The sequence below is a fragment of the Homo sapiens genome, chromosome 1 (genome assembly GCF_000001405.40).
Source record: "Homo sapiens chromosome 1, GRCh38.p14 Primary Assembly".
In the NCBI taxonomy this organism is placed as follows: domain Eukaryota; kingdom Metazoa; phylum Chordata; class Mammalia; order Primates; family Hominidae; genus Homo; species Homo sapiens.
In genome coordinates, this window is record NC_000001.11 from 10,145,850 (window position 1) to 10,168,057 (window position 22,208).

At 45.4% G+C, this 22,208-nt stretch overlaps 1 protein-coding gene and 1 pseudogene across 8 annotated transcripts in view, besides 1 other annotated feature; both read left to right on the forward strand.

The window, feature by feature from the left end:
* The window catches only part of UBE4B (ubiquitination factor E4B), a 148,282-nt gene that overhangs the window by 112,892 nt on the left and 13,182 nt on the right, over nt 1-22,208 (forward strand). For all 8 annotated transcript variants that reach the window (NM_001410744.1, NM_001105562.3, NM_006048.5 and 5 more), the window contains 5 exons: nt 1,114-1,241; nt 3,335-3,433; nt 5,477-5,712; nt 12,507-12,633; nt 15,293-15,437. In NM_001410744.1, the coding sequence (NP_001397673.1) occupies nt 1,114-1,241; nt 3,335-3,433; nt 5,477-5,712; nt 12,507-12,633; nt 15,293-15,437 (735 nt within the window). The remainder of the gene's footprint in view (nt 1-1,113; nt 1,242-3,334; nt 3,434-5,476; nt 5,713-12,506; nt 12,634-15,292; nt 15,438-22,208) is intronic.
* Nucleotides 9,304-9,505: a silencer, noted in NCBI's record as "fragment chr1:10215211-10215412 (GRCh37/hg19 assembly coordinates)". NCBI's record gives its function as "represses an EF-1alpha promoter that drives an FKBP-Casp9 reporter gene in an ReSE screen in phorbol 12-myristate 13-acetate-treated (for megakaryocytic differentiation) K562 erythroleukemia cells {active_cell/tissue: K562(+PMA)}" and the evidence as "EXISTENCE:reporter gene assay evidence [ECO:0000049][PMID:32094911]".
* Nucleotides 17,419-17,525, forward strand: RNU6-828P (RNA, U6 small nuclear 828, pseudogene; annotated as a pseudogene).

The window sequence follows — 22,208 nt, forward strand, 5'->3', positions numbered from 1 at the left end:
GTGAGACATAGCTAAAAACATATGCCAGCTGACATTGTACAAATAAAGCATAGATAGCAAATTTATGCATTTTTCTTCTATTCATGTTCCAGTTATAAACCTGAGTGTTAGCTGGTCATGCATTCTGTTGAACAGTAGGATAATATGTGGAAAGTTTACCTGACATAGCTTTCTAGTACCAGTTAAGATTTCAGTTTTATTTACTAATAGACTAGACTTCTTCAAGATGCACAATTAACAAGGGGCCCTTATCTGGGGTCTGTGCACCCCCCTAAGCAGTCCACAGATGTGTTTCAAGGGGATCTATAAACTGCTTAAATTGCCAGGCATGGTGGCTCACACCAGTAATCCCAGCACTTTGAGAGGCCGAGGCAGGCAGATCACCTGAGGTCAGGAGTTCGAGACCAGCCTGGCCAACATGGTGAAACCCCGTCTCTACTAAAAATACAAAAATTAACTGGGTGTGGTGGCACACGACTGAAATCTCTGCCATTCGGGAGACTGAGGCAGGAGAATTGCTTGAACCTGGTAGGCAGAGGTTGCAGTGAGCCAAGATCGCGCCACTGCACTTCAGCCTGGGCAACAGAGCAAGACTCTGTCTCAAAATAAATAAATAAGAAACATAAAAACTGCTTAAATGTATACATCAGTGTGTGCATGCATGTGTGTGTAATTCTGTCAACAGGCCTCTAGGTAGGAATTCCATCCTTAGTGGCCAGCATTTTGCCCGAGGGCAGCTCGTAAGAGGCGACACTGGAATTCAGACACTGATTGTTTGGCTTTTTCCCACTAACCACCCTGACACCCAAAGGGCCTCCCTGTCGCCACCCTCTCCTCATCAGGTTATTTACTTGTGACTGTTGGAACTCAACATTTTGAGCTTTAACTGTGTGCTAGACCTGGTGGTACTCGGTGGTTTGCTTGCCACGCCTTTGTTTTTCTCAGGAAAAAGGTCTTGAGACACAACCAGCATCTTATAGCTAGTTAGGAGATGAAGCTCTAGAAGCTCTGGAACCCAAATTTCCCATCTCCTGGCCCCAGTCCCTGCCCAGTCCCCCTGTAGGGACTTAGCTACTGACTGATCTTTGGGTGGGGACATCCCTGCTTCCACAGAAACTGGTACGGTGCAAGGCCTGTGCTGATGCTGGCCTACTTGACGAGAGCTTCCTGAGAAGATGTCTGAATTTTTATGGCCTTCTCATTCAGCTGCTGCTCCGCATCCTGGACCCCGCATATCCCGAGTGAGTGTGCTTCTTCCTGTTTCCCTTGTCCCTCCTTGGCTGGGCTCTGTTGTCTTTATTGTCCTTCAAAGTTGATAACTAAAACCAAAACCCTTTCTTTATCAAGAATTCACTTCTCTGCAAGGCGCAGTGGTTCACGCCTGTAATCCCAGCACTTTGGGGGAGGCTGAGGCAGATGGATAACTTGAGGTCAGGAGTTCAAGACCAGCCTGGCCAACATGGCGAAACCGTGTCTCTACTAAAAATACAAAAATTAGCCGGGCTTGGTGGCAGATGCCTGCAGTCATAGCTACTCAGGAGGCTGAGGCATGAGAATCGTTTGAACCCGGGAGGCGGAGGTTGCATTGAGCCGAGATCATGCTACTGCACTCCAGCCTGGGCGACAGAGCGAGACTCTGTCCCCACCCAAAAAAAAAGATAATTCACTTCTCAGTTTCCAGATTGCATTTATATAGATTATGTAGTTATATTGATAGGTGTTTTCCCTGTAATTAGTTACAATAATAGGCAAATGTCAACACCTGTTATTTTAATTTTGACAAGTTTTCTTTAAAATTTGCTATAAAGTCTTTGATTGATAGAAAGAGAAATCTATAAATTGGAAGCCAAAAGCTGGAGATAATATTAGGCCCTCCTAAGCACTGGGTCCAGGAATACCCACCTAATTCAGAGAGTGAGCTAAGAACATTGTTGATCACTTTGTCATCAACTGGTCATCTCCTCCAGGCAAACCATTTTTGTTTTATTTATTATTATTATTATTTTACTGTTATGAAGTCTCTGGTTCACTGATGTTGGTGAGATTGGCCCAAGACCCGTGAAGGCGTGGAAAATATTATTTAAAATATGTGTGTAGGCCGGGTGCGGTGGCTCACGCCTATAATCCCAGCACTTTGGGAGGCCAGGGCGGGTGGATCACATGGTCAGGAGATCGAGACCATCTTTGCTAACACGGTGAAACCCCGTCTCTACTAAAAATACAAAAAATTAGCTGGGCGCTGTGGCGGGTGCCTGTAGTCCCAGCTACTCGGGAGGCTGAGGCAGGAGAATGGCGTGAACCTGGGAGGCGGAGCTTCCGGTGAGCGGAGATCACGTCTCTGCACTCCAGCCTGGGTGACGAGCAAGACTCCATCTCAAAAAAAAAAAAAAATGTGTGTAGCTCTGTTGTTTCCGTTTGAGTTGCACAAAATGACCAAATAGGACCTTTTTATTTCCTTCCCATTTTACTTATTGCATTAACCTTAGCAAGAAGTCAAGAAGGCTGGGCGTGGTGGCTCACGTCTGTAATCCCAGTACTTTGGAAGGCTGAGGCAGGCGGATCACTTGAGGTCAGGAGTTCGAGACCATCCTGGCCAACGTGGTGAAACACCGTCTCTACTAAAAATACAAAAATTAGCCAGGTGTGGTGGTGGGCGCCTGTAATCCCAGCTACTCGGGAGGCTGAGGCACAAGAATTGCTTGAACCCAGGAGGCAGAGGTTGCAGTGAGCCGAGATCACGCCACTGTACTCCAGCCTGGGTGACAGGGTGAGACTCTGTCTCAAAAAAAAAAAAAAAATCAAGAAAAGGGCCAGGTGTGGTGGCTCACACCTGTAATCCCAGCACTTTGGGAGGCCAAGATGGGTGGATCACTTGAGGTCAGGAGTTCGAGACCAGCCTGGCCAACATGGTGAAACCCTGTCTCTATTGAAAATACAAAAATTAGCCAGGTATGGTGGCACGTGCCTGTAATCTCAGCTATTCGGGAGGCTGAGACATGATAATCGATTGAACTGGGGAGGTGGAGGTTGCAGTGAGCCAAGATTGCACCACTGCACTCCAGCCTGGGTGACAGAGTGAGACTCCATCTCAGGGGAGAAAAAAAAGAAATCAAGAAAAGGAAAACATTTCACACATACCCTTGCATATGCACTGTCTTCATTATTCCCTGTTCATTTCTGGTTGTAGTTTCTTTGCCTACATATTTATTACATAGTATTACAGAATGATTTTCTTCCCCAAATGAAATACTTATCCGATGGTAATGTAATACTCCTTGTAGTTTGATGTACCATAATTTCATTTAATAAATTGTCCTTTTTTTCTCTTTGACAGTATAACACTGCCTTTAAATTCAGATGTCCCCAAGGTATTTGCAGCGTTGCCTGAGTTTTATGTAGAAGATGTTGCAGAATTTTTATTTTTTATTGTACAGTAAGTGCCTTTAATATTTTACATAGTTCTAATATGTTTTTATGCATAATAGTATAATATTCTGAGCTATGTTGCAAACCTCCATTTCATGCCTGAAATTTGATGTAACTGTTTTAACTGAATGCTGCCTAGAGACTGGAAAAAATAAATCCAACTGTGGCATCAGTCCAATTCCAATAATATCTCAAAGACAGAGGCAGGATTAACAGTGCAGATAATGTATTCCTTGAAAATTGAGTTGAATTTCTAATAGTTAAATATGTGTTTCTGAGCAACAGAAGGAGGAAACAGTTTATAAATGTCTGAATGAACATCCCAAAACCAGAAATATCCACATCTATATTTTGTACTAAAATTTGTCTCAATTGTAAAATTGGAGAATGCTTACCAAGAAATGGTTTGAATTTCTAACTGGTATTGTAGGGTTTTAATTTTTTTTTCAAATCCTTATTTGGTTTATCAAATTAACATTTTATTTCTAAAACATTACAGGTTAGAAGAATTACAATTTCAATCCCTTGGCACCATGATAGCACCTATGACTAGCTGAGGGAGTGGTATGTGAAGTCTATTGTGAAAAGTAAAAGTCATGCTGGGCACTGTGGCTCATGCTTGTAGTCCCAGACATGCAGGAGGATTGCTTGAGCCTAGTTCAAGACCAGTCTGGGCAATGCAGCAAGTCTGCATCTCTTTAAAAAATAAATAAATAAATAGTATAGGTCCCCAGTCACAGAATACAAATTGTGAAAGTTTTGTAACAAACAACAGGAAAAAAACAAAATTAGTATAAATGATTTTAAAATAAGGGCCAAAAGTAAATGGAGCAAGTTAATATTGCTGTCATAAAAGCTGCCTTTAAAAAAAAGCCCAAATCAAGGCAGAGGTTGCAATGAGCAGAGATCATGCCACTACACTCCAACCTGGGCAACATACACAAAAAAACCCAAATCATTGGTGACACGTGATTTTGATTGGTATGAAATTTTAAAAGTGACTCAAAAACGTGGTTTATTTGTTGAAAAACCAACCTTGGAATTTAAGCAACTCAAGTCACATTTTAAAATTTGTTCTATGCACAGTGATACAAAAGACACCTATTTGAAAAATTTCATTTATTCTCATTTTCAGCAGAGATTAAAAAAAAACTATCAAAATTTTTATGTTTTGGTAGTGATGATCTTTTGTGAAGTTTATCTGATTTGATCATAGGTTTTGTTTATAGTTAATATAACATGCTACAGCCAGTAACCATGTTTGGTTTTAAATCTGTCTTGTTACAGTGTGAATAGTCACTGTAGGCTGGGTGCAATGGCTCATGCCTGTAATCCCAGCACTTTGGGAGGCCAAGGTGGGCAAATCACGAGGTCAAAAGATCAAGACCATCCTGGCCAACATGGTGAAACCCCATCTCTACTAAAAATACAAAAGTTAGCTGGGCATGGTGGCAGGCACCTGTAGTCCCAGCTACTCAGGAGGCTGAGGCAGGAGAATCGCTTGAACTTTGGAGGCGGAGGTTTCAGTGAGCCGAGATTGTGCCACTGCACTCCAGCCTGGGCAACACAGCGAGGCTCCATCTCAAGAAAAAAAAAAAAAAATAGGCTGGGCGCAGTGGCTCATGCCTGTAATCCCACCATTTTGGGAGGTCGAGGCGGGCGGATCACGAGGTCAGGAGATCGAGACCATCCTGGCTAACATGGTGAAACCCCATCTCTACTAAAAATACAAAAAAAATTAGCCGGGCATGGTGGCAGGTGCCTGTAGTCCCAGCTACTCGGGAGGCTGAGGCAGGAGAATGGCGTGAACCTGGGAGGCGGAGCTTGCAGTGAGCCGAGATCGCGCCACTGCACTCCAGCCTGGGCGACAGAGCGAGACTCTGTCTCAAAAAAAAAAAAAAGTCACTGTAAACTGAATGAGTTCAAGGGCACTCCCAAACCTACTTATCCTGCCTTCCCCTCCTCACTTACTGACACCAGCCTTCACCCAAGATGAGTTTCTCAGCAGTTTCTCAGCGGTCTCTTTCTTGCTCTTCTTGCCTCTGTTCAGATACTCTCCCCAGGCGCTTTATGAGCCCTGTACTCAGGATATTGTGATGTTCCTTGTTGTGATGTTGTGCAACCAGAACTACATCCGAAACCCATATTTGGTGGCCAAACTGGTAGAAGTCATGTTTATGACCAACCCTGCTGTTCAGCCACGAACCCAGAAGTTTTTTGAAATGATTGAGAACCATCCTCTCTCCACCAAGTTGTTGGTACCTTCCCTGATGAAGTTTTATACAGGTAGGTTGCTGGAACACAGTGTAGCACATGGCAGGCCAACTTAGGTAAGGTCATCTAAAGCTAGTGGACGACGTTGCTCTAAGCCTGTTACCTAATATCCTGCTACCTGTGTGTATAGCCTACTAACCTGTGGCCTGCAGAGGATGTACTTTTGGTTCTTCTTGCCCTGAGTAGTTAGGAATAGGACAACCATTCCACCTACTGGTCTCTGATGATTCAGCAGGAACTACTGAAAGTCAGATGATTGGCACCGAGACCCAGGGTATCAAGAGCACAAGTTGGTAGTGTTATCTGAATGGAATTATCTGGTTCATTTTACCTTTGAACTTACAGCATTTGTTTTTTAACACTATCCTATAACCCACTTTCCAAAGTGTGGGTGAAACAGGGAGCTTGTTAAAAATGCATATTCTTGGTCCGGGTGCGGTGGCTCATGCCTGTAATCCCAGCACTTTGGGAGGCCGAGGCGGGCGGATCACAAGGTCAGGAGTTCAAGACCAGCCTGGCCAGTATGGTGAAACCCCATCTCTACTAAAAATAGAAAAAAAAATTAAATTAGCCGGGCATGGTTGCAGGTGCCTGTAGTCCCAGGGCGGTTGAGGGAGGAGAATTGCTTGAACCCGGGAGGCAGAAGTTGCAGTGAGCCGAGATCCCGCCACTGTATTCCAGCCTGGGCAAGAGAACAAGACTCCGTCTCAAATAATAATAATAATAATAATAATAATAATAATAATACCACTTTTCACCTGTCAAATTTATTTCTTAAGTTGAAAATACCTGGTACAAACATGGTTGTGGAGAAGTAAGCTAACCTGCAAAAAAACCTGCTTAATCTACCCTATAGCCAGTGTGCAGATTTAGTGCTATGAAACTCTCATGAGAATGCAAATTTAAAGCCTTTCTGAAAGGCAGTTTAGCAGCCCACACCAAGAGCCTTAAAAATGCTTTTATCGGGGCCAGGTGCGGTGGCTCATACCTGTAATCCCAGCACTTTGGGAGGCCGAGGCGGGTGGATCACCTGAGATCAGGAATTTGTGACCAGCCTGGCCAACATGGAGAAACCCCGTCTCTACTAAAAATACAAAAATTAGCTGGGTGTGGCGGGCGGCGCCTGTCATCCCAGCTACTCAGGAGGCCGAGGCACGAGAATCGAGTGAACCTAGGAGGCAGAGGTTGCATTGAACTGAGATCACACCAGTGTGCTCCAGCCTAGGAGAAAGGGCAAGACTCCGTCTCAAAAAAGAAAAAAAAAAAGCACTGGGATAACAAATAGTAGGTGCAGGAAGTAGCCATCTTCTATCCCTCAGTCTGGGGACCCAAGGGAAGAGCCTGGGGATCTCAGAACCCAGCTGCCCTGATGAGGGCTTGGACGGAGCTAGGACCCAGTCCTCTGTGGAAGGCCCTTGGCCAGTAGGTGCTGGTGTCTCTCTCGGGGGTTGTGCACGGTTGCTAGCTCTGGGGGTACGAGACAAAGCTGAAAATTGGAACCAACTGCTACTGCTGACAGTAAGTGCAAGGTCCTAAGTCCCTTGTTTCTCCTTCAGTTTTCCAGTTCTCCTGCAGCACCCCCTATTGGCAACCCTAGAGAGGGCGGGCTGCCAAAGGAAAGATTCTGCAGTGCCAGCCCCAGAATCACAAAGCCAACTACAAAGAGTGCATGTGGGCTGGGCACGGTGACTCCAGCTAATAATCCTAGCACTTTAGGAGGCCAAGGTGGGAGGATTGTTTGAGCCTAAGAGTTGGAGACCAGCCTGGGCAACATGGCGAGACCCCATCTCTACGAAAAATTTAAAAATTAGATGCCTGTTGTCCCAGCTACTAAGGAGGCAGAGGTGGGAGGAAGGCTTGAGCCCAGGAGTTCAAGGCTGCAGTGAGCTATGATCTTGCTGCTGCGTTCCAGCCTGTGAAACAAAGCAAGACCCTGTTTCTAAAAAAAAAAAAAAAAAAAAAAAAAAAAGGGTAAAAAGACTGGGTTTCGGCCAGGCACAGTAGCTTACACTTGTAATCCCAGCACTTTGGGAGGCCAAGGCAGTGGATCACCTGAGGTCAGGAGTTCGAGACTAGCCTGACCAAAATGGTGAATCCTAGTCTCTACTAAAAGTAAAAGGCCGGGCGTGGTGGCTCACGCCTGTAATCCCAGCATTTTGGAAGACTGAGGTGGGTGGATCACAAGGTCAAGAGATCGAGATGAGCCTCGCCAACATGGTGAAACCCCGTCTCTACTAAAAATACAAAAATTAGGCCTGGCACAGTGGCTCACGCTGTAATCCCAGCACTTTGGGAGGCTGAGGTGGGCGAATCACCTGAGGTCGGGAGTTCAAAACCAGCCTGACCAACATGGTGAAACCCTGTCTCTACTAAAAATACAAAATTAGCCTGGCATGGTGGCACATGCCTGTAATCCCAGCTACTTGGGAGGCTGAGGCAGGAGAATCACTTGAACCCGCGAGGCAGAGGTTACGGTGAGCCAAGATCGCGCCATTGTAATCCAGCCTGGGCAACAAGAGCAAAACTCCGTCTCAAAAACAAAAATTAGCTGGACATGGTGGCATGTGCCTGTAGTCCCAGCTACTCGGGAGGCTGAGGCAGGAGAATCTCTTGAACCCGGGAGGCAGAGGTTGCAATGAGCCAAGATCGCGCTACTGCACTTCAGCCTGGTGACAGAGCAAGACTTCATCTCAAAAACAAAACAAAAAACAAAACAAAACAAAATTAGCCGGGTGACGCATGCGTGTAATCCCAGCAACTTGAGAAGCTGAGGCAGGAGAATAGCTTGAACCCGGGAGGTGGAGGTTGTAGTTAGCCGAGATCTAAAAAAATTTTAAAAAAAAAGAGTGGATTTGGAGCTACGAGACAACAGCTGAATAGCTATACTCTGACATAAGAATTTAATTTCTTGAAATTTATTCAATGGAAATAATTACGAATGTTTGTAAGTGATGTTCTCCACAGCATTATTTATAAAGCAGTGCAGTGAAAATAATAAAAACAACTGGCCGGGCTCAGTGACTCACGCCTGTAATCCCAGCACTTTGGGAGGCTGAGGCAGGAGGATCACCTGAGGTCAGGAGTTGGAGGCTTAGTCTGGCCAAAATGGTGAAACCCCGTCTCTACTAAAAATACAAAAAAATTTAGCTGGGCGTAGTGGTGCACACCTATAGTCCCAGCTTCTCTGGAGTCTAAGGCAGATGAATCACTTGAATCAGGGAGGCAGAGGTTGCAGTGAGCCAAGATCGTGCCATTGCACTCCAGCCTGGGCTACAAGAGCAAATCTCCATCTCAAAAAAAAAAAAAAGGAATGTAGGGAAGGACATATACCAAAATAGTAACAGCGCATTGGTTATTTTTGAATGGTAGCATTATAAATAGTTTTTATTTTTATTTTATTATCTGAACTTCTTAATTTTTCTACAGTAAACATGTATTGTTAGTAGTAAAGACAAAACAATTTTAGTTAAATTTATTTTGTAGTCAGTGTTCTGGGCCTGTCACTGTGGCTTCAGGAGAGAGAGAGAGAGAGAGAGTGTGTGTGTGTGTGTGTGTGTGTGTTTGTGTATTTGTGTTTACACAACAGAACTGGGCCTGTTGCCTATAAGACGAGTGCTGGGCCTAGTGGAGTCCTGCTGGGAATGTTCCAGAAGGAATTGGGTGGGGGTTGTTCTCTCTTTCCTCTTTGCCATGTGTGCCCTCTGGCCTGGACCACCTCTTCAGTCATAGATGGATGACATCTGTACTAATAATAGCCACCACTTATTGAATGCTTACTAATCCTTTCACTTAATCCCCACGGCAGTCCTAAAGATAGTACTATAAATACATCCACTTTACAAATGAGGAAACTGAAGCTTAAAAGGGTCAAGAAGCTTGCTGAAGGTCAGTGGCTAGCAAGTGGCAGCAACCTCGCAGATGCCCTTTAGCACAGGTCCCCCTGGCTACTGTGCTGGTCTTCCTACAGCTACTAAGGGACCGGTGTGAGGGTACCCCTGAGGGAGGCATCACAGACATAGTCCCCAGTGCTCATCACCTCCATGTGAAGACCTGGCTGATTAGGTCCTGGTCCCTGAGCAGATGGGACCCTCAGATATAAATTAAAAGTTGCCACACACAAGATCAGTATGTGGAACAAGCTCCTCTTAACACCACAGAGATAGTATTCTAGCTTAGAAAATGCTCAAGTTAGGCTGGGCGTGGTGGCTCACGCCTGTAATCCTAGCACTTTGGGAGTCCGAGACAGGTGAATCACTTGAGGCCAGGAGTTTGAGACCAGCCTGGCCAACATGGCGAAACCCTGTCTCTACTAAAAATACAAAAGATTATCCGGGTGTGGTGGTGGGGGCCTGTAATGCCAGCTACTTGGGAGGCTGAGGCTGGGGAATTGCTTGAACCGGGACCTGGGAGGTGGAGGTCGCAGTGAGCCAAGATCTTGCCACTGTACTCCAGCCTGGGCTACAGAGTGAGACTCCATCTCAAAAAAAAAAAAAAAGAAAGAAGGCAGCAAGAATACCTGGGGGGAGGAGGGAGAGGTTCAACACAAGTCTAGTCCACCTACGGCCTTCTAGAACAAGGACCTGGGAATTAGAACTTGGGCTGGTATGACTTTGAGGGAACAGTAGAAGTGAATAAGAAGAAAAAAAAACTGTTGGGAGAAATGTATATTGTTTTGTTTCATTTTCTTTTCTTTTTTTTTTTTTTTTTTGAGCTAGGGTCTTGCTCTGTCACCCACGCTAGAGTGTAGTGGTACAATTACAGCACCATGCACTCTTGACCTCCCGGGCTCAAGTGATCCTCCTACCTCAGCCTCCCCTGTAGCTGGGACTGCAGGCATGTGCCACCACACCCAGCTAATTTTTGTGGTTTTTGTAGAGACGGGGTTTCACGATGTTCACCAGGCTGGTCTCAAACTCCTGAGCTCAAGTGATCTGCCCACCCGGGCCTCCTGAAGTGCTGGAAATACAGATGCGGGGCCCTGCTGAGATACATATTGCTACATAATAAATTAACATTTACTTAGTCTCTACTATATTCAGAATTGGGTGCAGATATTGGGGCATTTTAGATGATATGAGGCGTTGGGTTGGTCCTCCTGTATCTTCCTCTTGTAGGCTATCCTTATGTCAACACTCCACACTTTAGCTCATGCTTTTATACAATTAATAAATGACATTTAGTTTATTTTAAGGAAAGGTTACTTAATGAATATACATAAGTACTTTCGGATCTTAGTATGATAGGTGTTAATTATCTTATTTTATTTTTAAATAGCTGTTTCCTTTTTTGGTCACACACAAAAAAATGTGTTCTTTGGAAAATACAGAAAATATCAAAGACAAGGTATAGTGGCTCACACCTGTAATCTCAGTACTTTGGAAGGACGATGTAGGAGGATCGCTTGAGGCAGGAATTTGAAACCAGCCTAGGCAACATAGTGAGACCCCATCTGTAAAAAAATTAAAAGTGAAAAAAAAAATTTTTGAGACAGAGTCTTGCTTTGTCGCCCAGGCTGGAGTGCAGTGGCATGATCTTGGCTCACTGCAACCTCTGTATCTGGATTCAAGCAATTCTCCTGCTTCAGCCTCCTGAGTAGCTGGAATTATGGGCACACACCACCATGCCCTGCTAGTTTTTGTATTTTTATTAATAGTAGAGGCGGGGTTTTGCTATGTTGGCCAGGCTGGTCTCGAACTCCTGGCCTCAAGTGATCTGCCTGCCTCGGCCTCCCAAAGTGCTGGGATTATAGGCGAGAGCCACCACGCTCAGCCATAAAAAATAAGCCACGCGTGGTGGATACACCTCCAGTCCCAGCTACTTGGGATGCTGAGGTGGGAGGATCACTTGAGCCCGAGAGGTTGAGGCTGCAGTGAGCCATTATTCACACCACTGCACTTTACCCTGGGTGACAGGGCAAGACCCTGTCTCCAAAAAAATAATAATAAAATAGTTGGGCACGGTGGCTCACACCTGTAATCCCAGCACTTTGGGAGGCCAAGGTGGGTGGATCATGAGGCCAAGAGATCGAGACAATCCTGGCCAATATGGTGAAACCCCATCTTTACTAAAAATACAAAAATTAGCAGGGCGTGGTGGCGCATGTCTATAGTCCCAGCTACTAGGGAGGCTGAGGCAGGAGAATTGCTTGAACCCCGAGGCAGAGGTTGCAGTGAGCTGAGATCGTGCTACTGCACTCCAGCCTGGCGACAGAGCGGGACTCTGTCTCAAAAATAATAATAATAATAATAAAATTTGTCATGAATTCTGAAATTTCTCATGCCTAAGCTTTTGCCATTTGGACAAACAAGTTTGATTTTTATCCCTCTTTAATAGATTTAGGGATGATAGACACATTGGTGTTTTTTCAACACCAAAAATGGTCAATAGATAGACACATTTAGTAAATACATGGCCCTCAATAAAATTAAACCTAACTTTTTATCCGCTGAAGTATGTCCATTTGAGGTGCCATAGAATTTCTGTAAATTAATAACTTAAAATTAGGTGGGGGGAGTATGATAATTCAGCTTTTGGTCATTGGTAAGTTGATGTTGTCCTAATGATGGGAGTTTTCCTAGCCCCGTTCCTTTAGGTGTTGTGTCATTGTCAAATCTTCATTGTGAAACTTTTGTCTTTAAAAGCAGCTTATAATTTCTGTCGTGCCCTACATGCAAAAGAAGTGCAAAATTTCACCAGCTCTCTGATTTTGCAGGTTTACATTCACTCAGTATCATTGTTGGGGCAATAACTGGATTTGGAAAGCAAGAAAATACATATCCCTCAGTACCTTTGTCTTTCTTCTTTAGATGTTGAGCATACCGGAGCCACCAGTGAGTTTTATGACAAGTTCACAATTCGCTATCATATTAGCACCATTTTTAAAAGCCTTTGGCAAAACATAGCTCACCATGGCACCTTTATGGAGGAGTTCAAGTGAGTATGGGGCCCCTCGTGTCACAACTTGCTTTCTTGCAAATCGCAGGTAGGATTGCAGCTTAAAAGCATGCACAGCTGGGTTCTTGTTGACTGTTTGCTTGGTCTCAGACTCCTTTGAGTTTACCACAAGATGCCACTAAATGTGGGCAGGATTTTTTAAATGGCTTTACTTGCAAGATATTGCTGAATTTTAGATTTGTCAAGATACTTTGGGGGTGGTACACAAGCGAAGATTGTATAGGGCAGGGCGTGGTGGCTCACGCCTGTAATCCCAGCACTTTGGGAGGCAGAGGCGGGCGGATCACTTGAGGTCAGGAGTTCAAAACCAGCCTGGCCAACATGGTGAAACCCCATCTCTATTAAAAATACAAAACATTAACTGGGTGTGGTGGCGCACGTCTGTTATCCTAGCTACTTGGGAAGCTGAGGCAGGAGAATCACTTGAACCCGGGAGGCAGAATTTGCAGTGAGCCGAGATTGTGCCAGTGCTCTCCAGCCTGGGTGACAGAGCGAGACTCCGTCTCAAAAAAAAAAAAAAAAAGGAAAAGAAAAGATCCTATAAATATGCTGAGATGATGGGTTAAGTGTTTTTTTGGTGTTTTCTACGATGACAGTGTTAAATGAAGTTGTCAGAATGAGTGAAATGAAATCTTAGTTCCTGAATGTTGGAAGGACTTTAGATTTTGCAACAATTAGGTCAGAGTTGTCATTTAAAGTATCATTCTTTGTGGTAAGGCCCTAAACCTTAATTAAAGACTTTTCATATACCTACCTGAAATCTGAGTGACTGCTTAAACCTGGACATTAGTAATTCCATCTAAATTATCTGTCAGTGCCTAAAAACAAAAGGGAGATGAAGATGCTGAACTCTTGAATTATTCTTCAAAAATTTTATCCCATCTAAGGGCCGGGCGTGGTGGCTCATGCCTGTAATCCCAGCACTTTGGGAGGCCGAGCAGGGCGGATCAGGAGGTCAGGAGATCGAGACCATCCTGGCTAACATGGTGAAACCCCGTCTCTACTAAAAATACCAAAAAATTAGCCAGGCATGGTGGTGGGCGCGGTGGCGGGCGCCTGTAGTCCCAGCTACTCAGGAGGCTGAGGCAGGAGAATGGCGTGAACCTGGGAGGCGGAGCTTGCAGTGAGCCGAGATGGTGCCACTGCACTCCAGCCTGGGCGACAGAGTGAGACTCCGTCTCAAATAAATAAATAAATAAATAAAAATTTTATCCCACCTACTTGGATCTTTTGCAACCCATGTTAGATCTTTGATCAAATCTAGCTATACTTGTTAACCGAATTACTAGTCAATAATATACAAATTACCAGTGGAATAACTATTTGCCAGATAGATTTCTGTGAAGCAAACTTTTTAACTTTTTGTTTCCATAAACTGCTCTTATGGTCAGAATTGTGTTCCAGCTAAAGCCTGGCACGAGGCAGGCCCATGGCTTGGTCTGAATGGTGCTGATTGGAGCGCTTGTCCTGAACTTGCCATGTTCCTGAGATCGAGGCCTCCTGCACTTGTTCACAGGAACTTCTCTTCTCCAGCATGGGCTTACCACCCCGTAGTTGCACAGTTGTAGACCCTGAAGTGTAGCTTCTTTTTTTCTCTACGAATCTGGCATCTCCAGAGTCTAACAGAGGTAGGCCAAGCTATTTCAGTTCACCAGCAAGTTCTCATTATAACACGATCTGCAGAACAGTTCCTTAGATTGGAGGCTTCCAGTTTTAAAGTAAGTTAATATCCCACTTTATCAATATTACAGGTTCCAATTTTTCTTCCATGCGTCAGTCTTTGTGATAAGGAATAACTATATCAGTTGTTTTCTTATCTGTTGTATGTGGTTAATTATTTGCATTTTCTTGGTATATTGGTGAGTATATGCGTTTTTCCTGTTCTAGTCTGGAAGAAGTGTTTTCTCTCCTTAAAAACATTGAGGGAGTGAGCTAGGGGTGTGCTGGTAAGCCTGCTCTGGGAAGCAGGGTGGGGGAGTCAGCATTTGCTGGTTTTCCATGGTGTGACTGTTTCCTCTGTTGCCCAATTTAAGGTGCCAGGGGAATCTGGTTATAAAATTCTGGAATATTTAGCACTTGACTGTCATCAGCCGTGCAAGGTGGCTCCAAATACCACTGGAATGAGCTTATCATAAACAATTTAAAAGAATAACAAAATCCAGGCCAGGTGTGGTGGCTCATCTCTGTAATCCCAACATTTTGAGGGGCTGAGGTGGGAGGAACGCTTGAGCCCAGGAGTTTGAGACCAGCCCTGGCAACATAACAAGTCCCTGTCTCTACAAAAAATACAAAAGCTGGGCGTGGTGGTGTGTGCCTGTAGTTCCAGCTACTTAGGAGGCTGAGGCAGGAAGATTGCTTGAGCCCTGGAGGTCGAGGATGCAGTGAGCTGTGATTGTGCCACTGCATTCCAGGCTGGGCGACAGAGTGAGACCCTGTCTCAAAAAGAAACAAGATTAACATAATCTAAAGAGAAGCTTGGTGGTCCTTGAATTCCATAGTGCCTGACTTGTGCCAGGGTAGCCAGGCTTTTAGGGTGAGATAGTTGCAGTCTGGGTGGAGGTGCTTGTTCCCTGGGATTTGCTGTGGCATTTTGCTTCAGGGAGATGTATGACCATGTACAATATAATTGCCTTTCCAGCTCCGGGAAGCAGTTTGTTCGCTATATAAACATGTTGATAAACGACACGACGTTTTTGCTCGATGAAAGTCTGGAGTCTCTGAAGCGAATCCATGAAGTGCAGGAAGAGATGAAGAACAAAGAACAGTGGGACCAGTTGCCCCGGGTGAGGACGTGGTCCAGAGGCTTGGACAGCTTTGCAGGCCATCTGCCTCCACACACGGGCAGAGCTGCTTTGGGGCTGCATTTGTGGGTCTGATGATATGCGATCTGACATGCTGGGATTTTCCTTCCATGAAATCATATTGCAGGATTGGAATAGGAAAATTCTTAAATACCTTATCTGAAGCTAAGAAATGGGTTGAGAAGTCTTTGAAAATGTACACTGAAAACTTTCTCTGCCTTTTTAATTTTAAAGGGCTTTTTTGGAGATGAGCTTTTATTGTCTGAATATATTAATATTCATGAACATAATTAGGAAAGAAATCTCTAGAATTATGTCTGCTGGACAAGAATTTGATTTGTTCCTATGGGCTTCTCTAGGCAACTGTGTGAATCACTCAGGATCCTGGCGGGGTGTTTTTTCCCTTTCAGTTGATCTTGGGTTTTATATTCAGTTATTAATAGAAAAGAGGCCTGGCTTGCCAGGTTCCATGGAAAGCACGTGCCGTGCCAGTACCAGTGCTCTTTCCTGACGTGCGTAGCAGCCACTGAGATACTTCCTTGGTCGCTTATGAGGCCCTTGACAGTTGCTGGTGACTTCTTAGATTGGCTTAGGTTTATTGATTCTGTTCTTGGAATTGTCAGGCTCAGAATCAGAACTGATTTCCATAAGGGGTTCTCATGTCAAAGTGGGGACTGCTTTTTCTTCACTTTTTCTTTTTTTTTTTTTTTTGAGACGGAGTTTCACTCTTGTCGCCCACGCAGGAGTACAGTGGTGCGATCTCTTCTCACTGCAATCCCCGCTTCTCCGGTTGAAGCGATTTTCGTGCCTCAGCCTTCTGAATAGCTGGGATTACAGGCGCCTGCCACCACACCTGGCTAGTTTTTGTATTTTGTTTGTTTGTTTTTGAGACGGAGTCTTGCTCTTTCACCCATGCTGGAGTGCAGTGGCACGATCTCAGCTCACTGCAATCTTTGCCTCCTGGGTACAAGTGATTCTCCTGCCTCAGCCTCCCAAGTAGTTGGGACTACAGGCACCTGCCACTACGCCTGGCTTATTTTTTGTATTTTTAGTAGAGATGGGGTTTCACCGTGTTAGCCAGGATGGTCTCGATCTCCTGACCTTGTGATCCGCCTTCCTCGGCCTCCCAAAGTGCTGGGATTACAGGCGTGAGCCATTGCACCCGGACAATTTTTGTATTTTTAGTAGTGACGGGGTTTCACCATGTTGGCCAGGCCTGTCTTGGACTCCTGACCTCAGGTGATCCATCCGCCTCAGCCTCCCAAAGTGCTGGGACTACAGGCGTGAGTCACCGCGCCCAGACTTTTTTTTTTTTTTTTTCTTTTTTAATTTCAACTTTTATTTTAGATTCAGGGGATGGGGTACATGTGCAGGTTTGTTACATGGGTATACCGTGATGCTGAGGCTTTATGATTCAGCCTGTCACCCAGGGAGTGAGCATAATACCTAATAGGTAGTTTTCAACCCTCACTCCTCCCTCACTCCCCTCCCTTGTAGTCCCCAGTGTCTGTTATTCCCGTCTCCGTCCATGTGTACCAATGTTTAGCTCCCATTTATACCTGCTTTTCTTCTTATGTATTAAAGTTCTACCCATTCTCTGAGTAAGGTCCTATCCAAATACTCCCTCAGGTTTGTCTTCGCCAATCAGCATAGCTGAAAATTCTCACCTTTCTCCTTACTTCTGTAACACCCACTTTATACCATTCACAGTGCTTGGTATGCCCAGCTTATATTTTATTTACTTATTTGTTTTTTATTATTATTAATAAATAAAGACAGAGTGTTGATCTGTCGCCTTGGCTGGAGTGCACTGGCAGGATCATAGCACACCACAGCCTCAACCTCCTGGACTCAAGTGATCCTCCTGCCTCAGCCTTTGTAGATCCAAAGAGCTGGATCTACAAGCATGTACCACCACGCTTGGCTAATTAAAAAAATTTTTTTTATAGAGACAAAGTCTCACATGCTTGCTTCAGCAGCACGTATACTAACATTGGAACAATGCAGAGAAGATTACCATGGCCCCTGCTCGAGGATGACATGCAAATTCATAAAGCATTCCATCCTTTAAAAATAAATATTAGGCCAGGGGTGGTGGCTCACGCCTGTAATCCCAGCACTTTGGAAGGCCGAGGCGAGTGGATCACAATGTCAAGAGATCAAGAACATCCTGGCCAACATGGTGAAACCCCGTCTCTACTAAAAATACAAAAATTAGCTGGGTGTGGTGGCACGCCGCTGTAGTCCCAGCTACTTGAGAGGCTGAGGCAGGATAATTGCTTGAACCCGGGAGGCGGAGGTTGCAGTGAGCCAAGATCGCACCACTGCACTCCAGCCTGGGCGACAGAGTGAGACTCCGTCTCAAATAAATAAATAAATATTAAAGAGAGAGAGTCTTGCTAGTTTTCCCAAGCTGGTCTTATATTTTATTTACTTACTATTTTTATTATTAAATTATTTTTTATTTTATTTTATTTTATTTTTTGAGACAGAGTCTCACTCTGTCACCCAGGTTGGAGTGCAGTGGCGCAATCTTGGCTCAATTTATGCCTGCTGGGATTACAGGCGTGCACCACCACGTCCGGCTAATTTTTGTATTTTTAGTAGAGATGGGGTTTTGCCACATTGGCCAGGCTGGTCTTGAACTCCTGGCCTCAAGCAATCCACCCACCTCAGCCTCCCAAAGTGCGGGGGTTACAGACATGAGCCACCATGCCCAGCCTTATTATTATTTTTTAATAGAAACAGAGTCTTGACCGGGCACAGTGGCTCATGCCTGTAATATCAGCACTTTGGGAGGCCGAGGCCGGCAGATCACCTGAGGCCAGGAGTTTGAGACCAGCCTGGCCAACATGGTGAAACCCAGTGTCTACTAAAAATACAAAATTTAGCCAGGCATGGTGACAGGTGCCTGTAATCCCAGCTATTTGGAAGGCTGAGGTGGGAGAATCACTTGAACCCAGGAGGCAGAGGTTGCAGTGAGCTGATACCATGCCACTACATTTCACATTTCAGCCTGGGCAACAGAGCGAGACTCCGTCTCAAAAAAGAAAAAAAAAAAGAAAGAAAGAGTCTTGCTCTGTCACCCAGGCTGGAGTGCAATGACAGATCTTAGCTCACTACAGCCTACAACCTCCTGGCCTCAAGCAGTCCTCCCACCTCAGCCTCCCAAAATGCTGGGATTATAGTTGTGAGCCACCATGGCTGGCCAGCGTATATTTTAGATGTTGGAATGCAGGTCTATAGCACATTCTCGTATTCATAGTCAGTACTTAATAGCATTTGTTTATGAGCCAACTGAACAAATAATATTGATTTTTCCTGTGTTAATGGATGAAAAAGGCCCAAATAATTCCCACAATTGCTATTTCAGAAATAATTTTTATTTGGCTTTGAAGTCACTTTCTACCTCCCACTGCCCTGGCTGTTCCTGCTCATCTCCCTGACGTCTGAGCTTGGTGAGCTCCAGCACTCAGCCCTTAGGCTTCAATTTCTTTCCCACTCATGCTCTCTAGGTTAGTGTTTCTCAACGAGGGCACTAGTTGGAATTTTGAGCCTAGTGGAATTTGGTATAATAATAACTCATGATGAGAAACCATCCCATATATTGCAGGACATTTAGGATCTCTGTTTCCTGCCATTTAATGTCAGGGATGTACCCTCCTACCCCCAGCCTTCAGGCAACGAGAAACACTGCCACACATAACCTGATGTCCCCCGGTGAACATCACTGCTTGGTGAGCTCAGGTATACCAAGGCATTAAATACCTGTGTTCTAAAGACTCCAGAATATATCTCCCTGGCTCAGATCTGACTGCAGACTTGCAGACCAAGTATTTGTCTAATCAGTGTCTCAAACTCACTGTGTCCAAAACGGAACCCTTGATGTTGTCCACATCTCCTGCCTGAGTCTGCCCAATCTCAGTAAATGGCGCCTTCATTCTACCAGCTGCTCAGGCTCGATGCTTTGGAGTTGCTCTTGATTTCTCTGCGTCTCTCAGCAAATGCCTCTAAGCTCTGTCTTAAAATATATCCATTATCTGACCTCTTCTCAGCACCTCCAGACCGTTGGCATCTCTTACCTGGGTTATTGCAGTAGCCCACTGCTTGGTCTTCAACCTCCACTCTTGAGCATGTCCATATCAGGGATGGTGTTAAACATCTCAGTCTGATCAACATCACCACTCAGCTCAGCCATTTTGGGCTTCCCTTATCACTCAGAGCCAAATCCTGTGGTGAGAGCAGCCTACAGCACGCAGGAGGACCTGGCCCCACAATGTGTTTCTGCTCTCAGCTTTGGACAGTCTCTTCTCCACTCACTCTACCCCAGCCAGACTCACCTCCTGGCCCTTCCACTGACACGTGAGGGCCTTTACACCTGCTCTTCCCCCTACCTGGAATGCTCTTCCCTCAGATTTTCCGACTCCTTCAGATATACCCTCCCTCAGGGATACCTTCCCTGACCACCCTTTCCAGAATAGCATTCCCTGACTCCTGACCCTGCTTCATTTTTCCTCATCACTGTCAGACTTACTGTGTGTCTGTCTGGGTATTTGTTTCTATGAAGCAGATCCTCCCTAACGGAATCTAAGCTGCATGAGAGCTGGGAGCCTTTTTATTCTATCTCCAGTGCCCAAAGGCTGTAGAAGGGCCTGTTGAGACACCCAGGTACACATTTAGGTAGTTCACGCCTGGCTGTTCTTGTGTCTTTCCTGGCTCTGCCTTTCTTTCAGTAGGCTCATTCTTGACCAGGGAACGGCAGGCCCCCCAGTATCCCTGCAGAATCTCCATCAAGCACAGACTGGAGCACTTTCCCAGAGGGCACTCACCGGCCAGCTTCAGCTCTGCCAGCTGTGTTCCTTTCCCAACAAGAAAAGGCCTCTGAACAGATGTAAGAATTGAGGCTTTTCCTGATGGGTCTGTGTTTGACCCATTTCAGAGCCTGCAGTGCAGTACCTGATTGTATCCATGAGTCAAACAGCTCTTATTATCTCCTCCCCAGCCCATGGCAGAGTTGAAGGAGGAAAGTGCGCCAGAGGTAAGCGTGCTGACAGTTCTGTGGTGTGACAGCCTCACAGTTTGGAAAGACAAAATTTTAAAAGCTTAGTAGTCCACAGGCACTTGTAGAGGCAGAGAGGCAGACCCGATAGGCCTCAATACGGTGGCACACTGCATCTCATAGTTTTAAAATAATGAAGACTGGCTGAGCACGGTGGCTTACACTTGTAATCCCAGCACTTTGGGAGGCCTAGGTGGGCAGATCAGTTGAGGTCAGGAGTTTGAGACCAGCCTGATCAACATAGTGAAACCCCATCTCTACTAAAAATACAAAAATTAGGCCAGGCGCATTGGCTCACGCCTGTAATCCCAGCTCTTTGGGAGGTTGAAGTGGATGGATCACCTGAGGTCAGGAGTTCAAGACCAGCCTGGCCAACATGGCGAAACCCCAATCTTTACCAAAAATACAAAAATTAGTCAAGCATGGTGGCACGCACGTGTAATCCCAGCTACTCAGGAGGCTGAGGCAGGAGAATGGCTCGAACCCGGGAGGCAGAGATTGCAGTGAGCCAAGATCGCGCCACTGCACTCCAGCCTGGGCAACAGAGTGAGACCCTGTCTCAAAAAAAATAAATAAATCACACACACACACACACACACACACACACAAAAAAAAAAAATTAGCTGGGCATGGTGGTCCACTCCTGTAATCCCAGCTACTTGGGAGGCTGAGACATGAGAATCACTTGAACCTGGGAGGCGGAGGTTACAGTGAGCCGAGATTGTGCCACTGCACTCTAGCCTGGGTGACAGAGGAAGACTCCATCTCAAAAAAAAATAACAATAATAATAGAGGGCCGGGCACGGTGGCTTACGCCTGTAATCCCAACACTTCGGGAGGCCAAGGCAGGCTGATCACCTGACGTCAGGAGTTCGAGACCAGCCTGACCAACATGGAGAAACCCCGTCTCTACTAAAAATACAGAATTAGCCGGGCATGGTGACACATGCCTGTAGTCCCAGCTACTCGGGATGCTGAGGCAGAAGAATCACTTGAACCTGGGAGGCGGAGGTTCCGGTGAGCCGAGATCGCGCCATTGCACTCCAGCCTGGGCAACAAGCGAAACTCCGTCTCAAAAAATAATAATAATAATAATAATAATAATAATAATGACTAAGTAAAAGTTATTATTAAGGGAAATAAACTACCCTTTCTTAGTGCCATGATGTGTGTCAGATACTATGTTCCATTATCTTATTTCATCCTGAATAGAAGTTGATGGTGACTTTTTTTTTTTTTTTTTTTTTTGAGACGGAGTCTCACTCTGTCACTAGGCTGGAGTACAGTGGCGCGATCTCAGCTCACTGCAGCCTCAGCCTTCTGGGTTCAAGCAGTTCTCCTGCCTCAGCCTCCCAAGTAGCTGGGACTACAGCCACGCACCACCACCCCCAGCTAATTTTTGTATTTTTAGTAGCGACGGGGTTTCACCATGTTGGCCAGGGTGGTCTCGATCTCGACCTCGTGATTCGCCCACCTTGGCTTCGCAAAGTGCTGGGATTACACGCGTGAGCCACCACGCCCGGCAGATGGTGACTTCTTTTATCATTGAGGAAGCAGAGTTAAATAAGGCACCAACATCACCTGGCTGGAAGTCTCAAAGAGCTCCGATGCTGAAAGGATGAAACTTCAGTTATCTGGGACATGTGGCAGGCGGTTCTGTCATTCCCTAAGCATGTTGGGTTTATCACGCACTT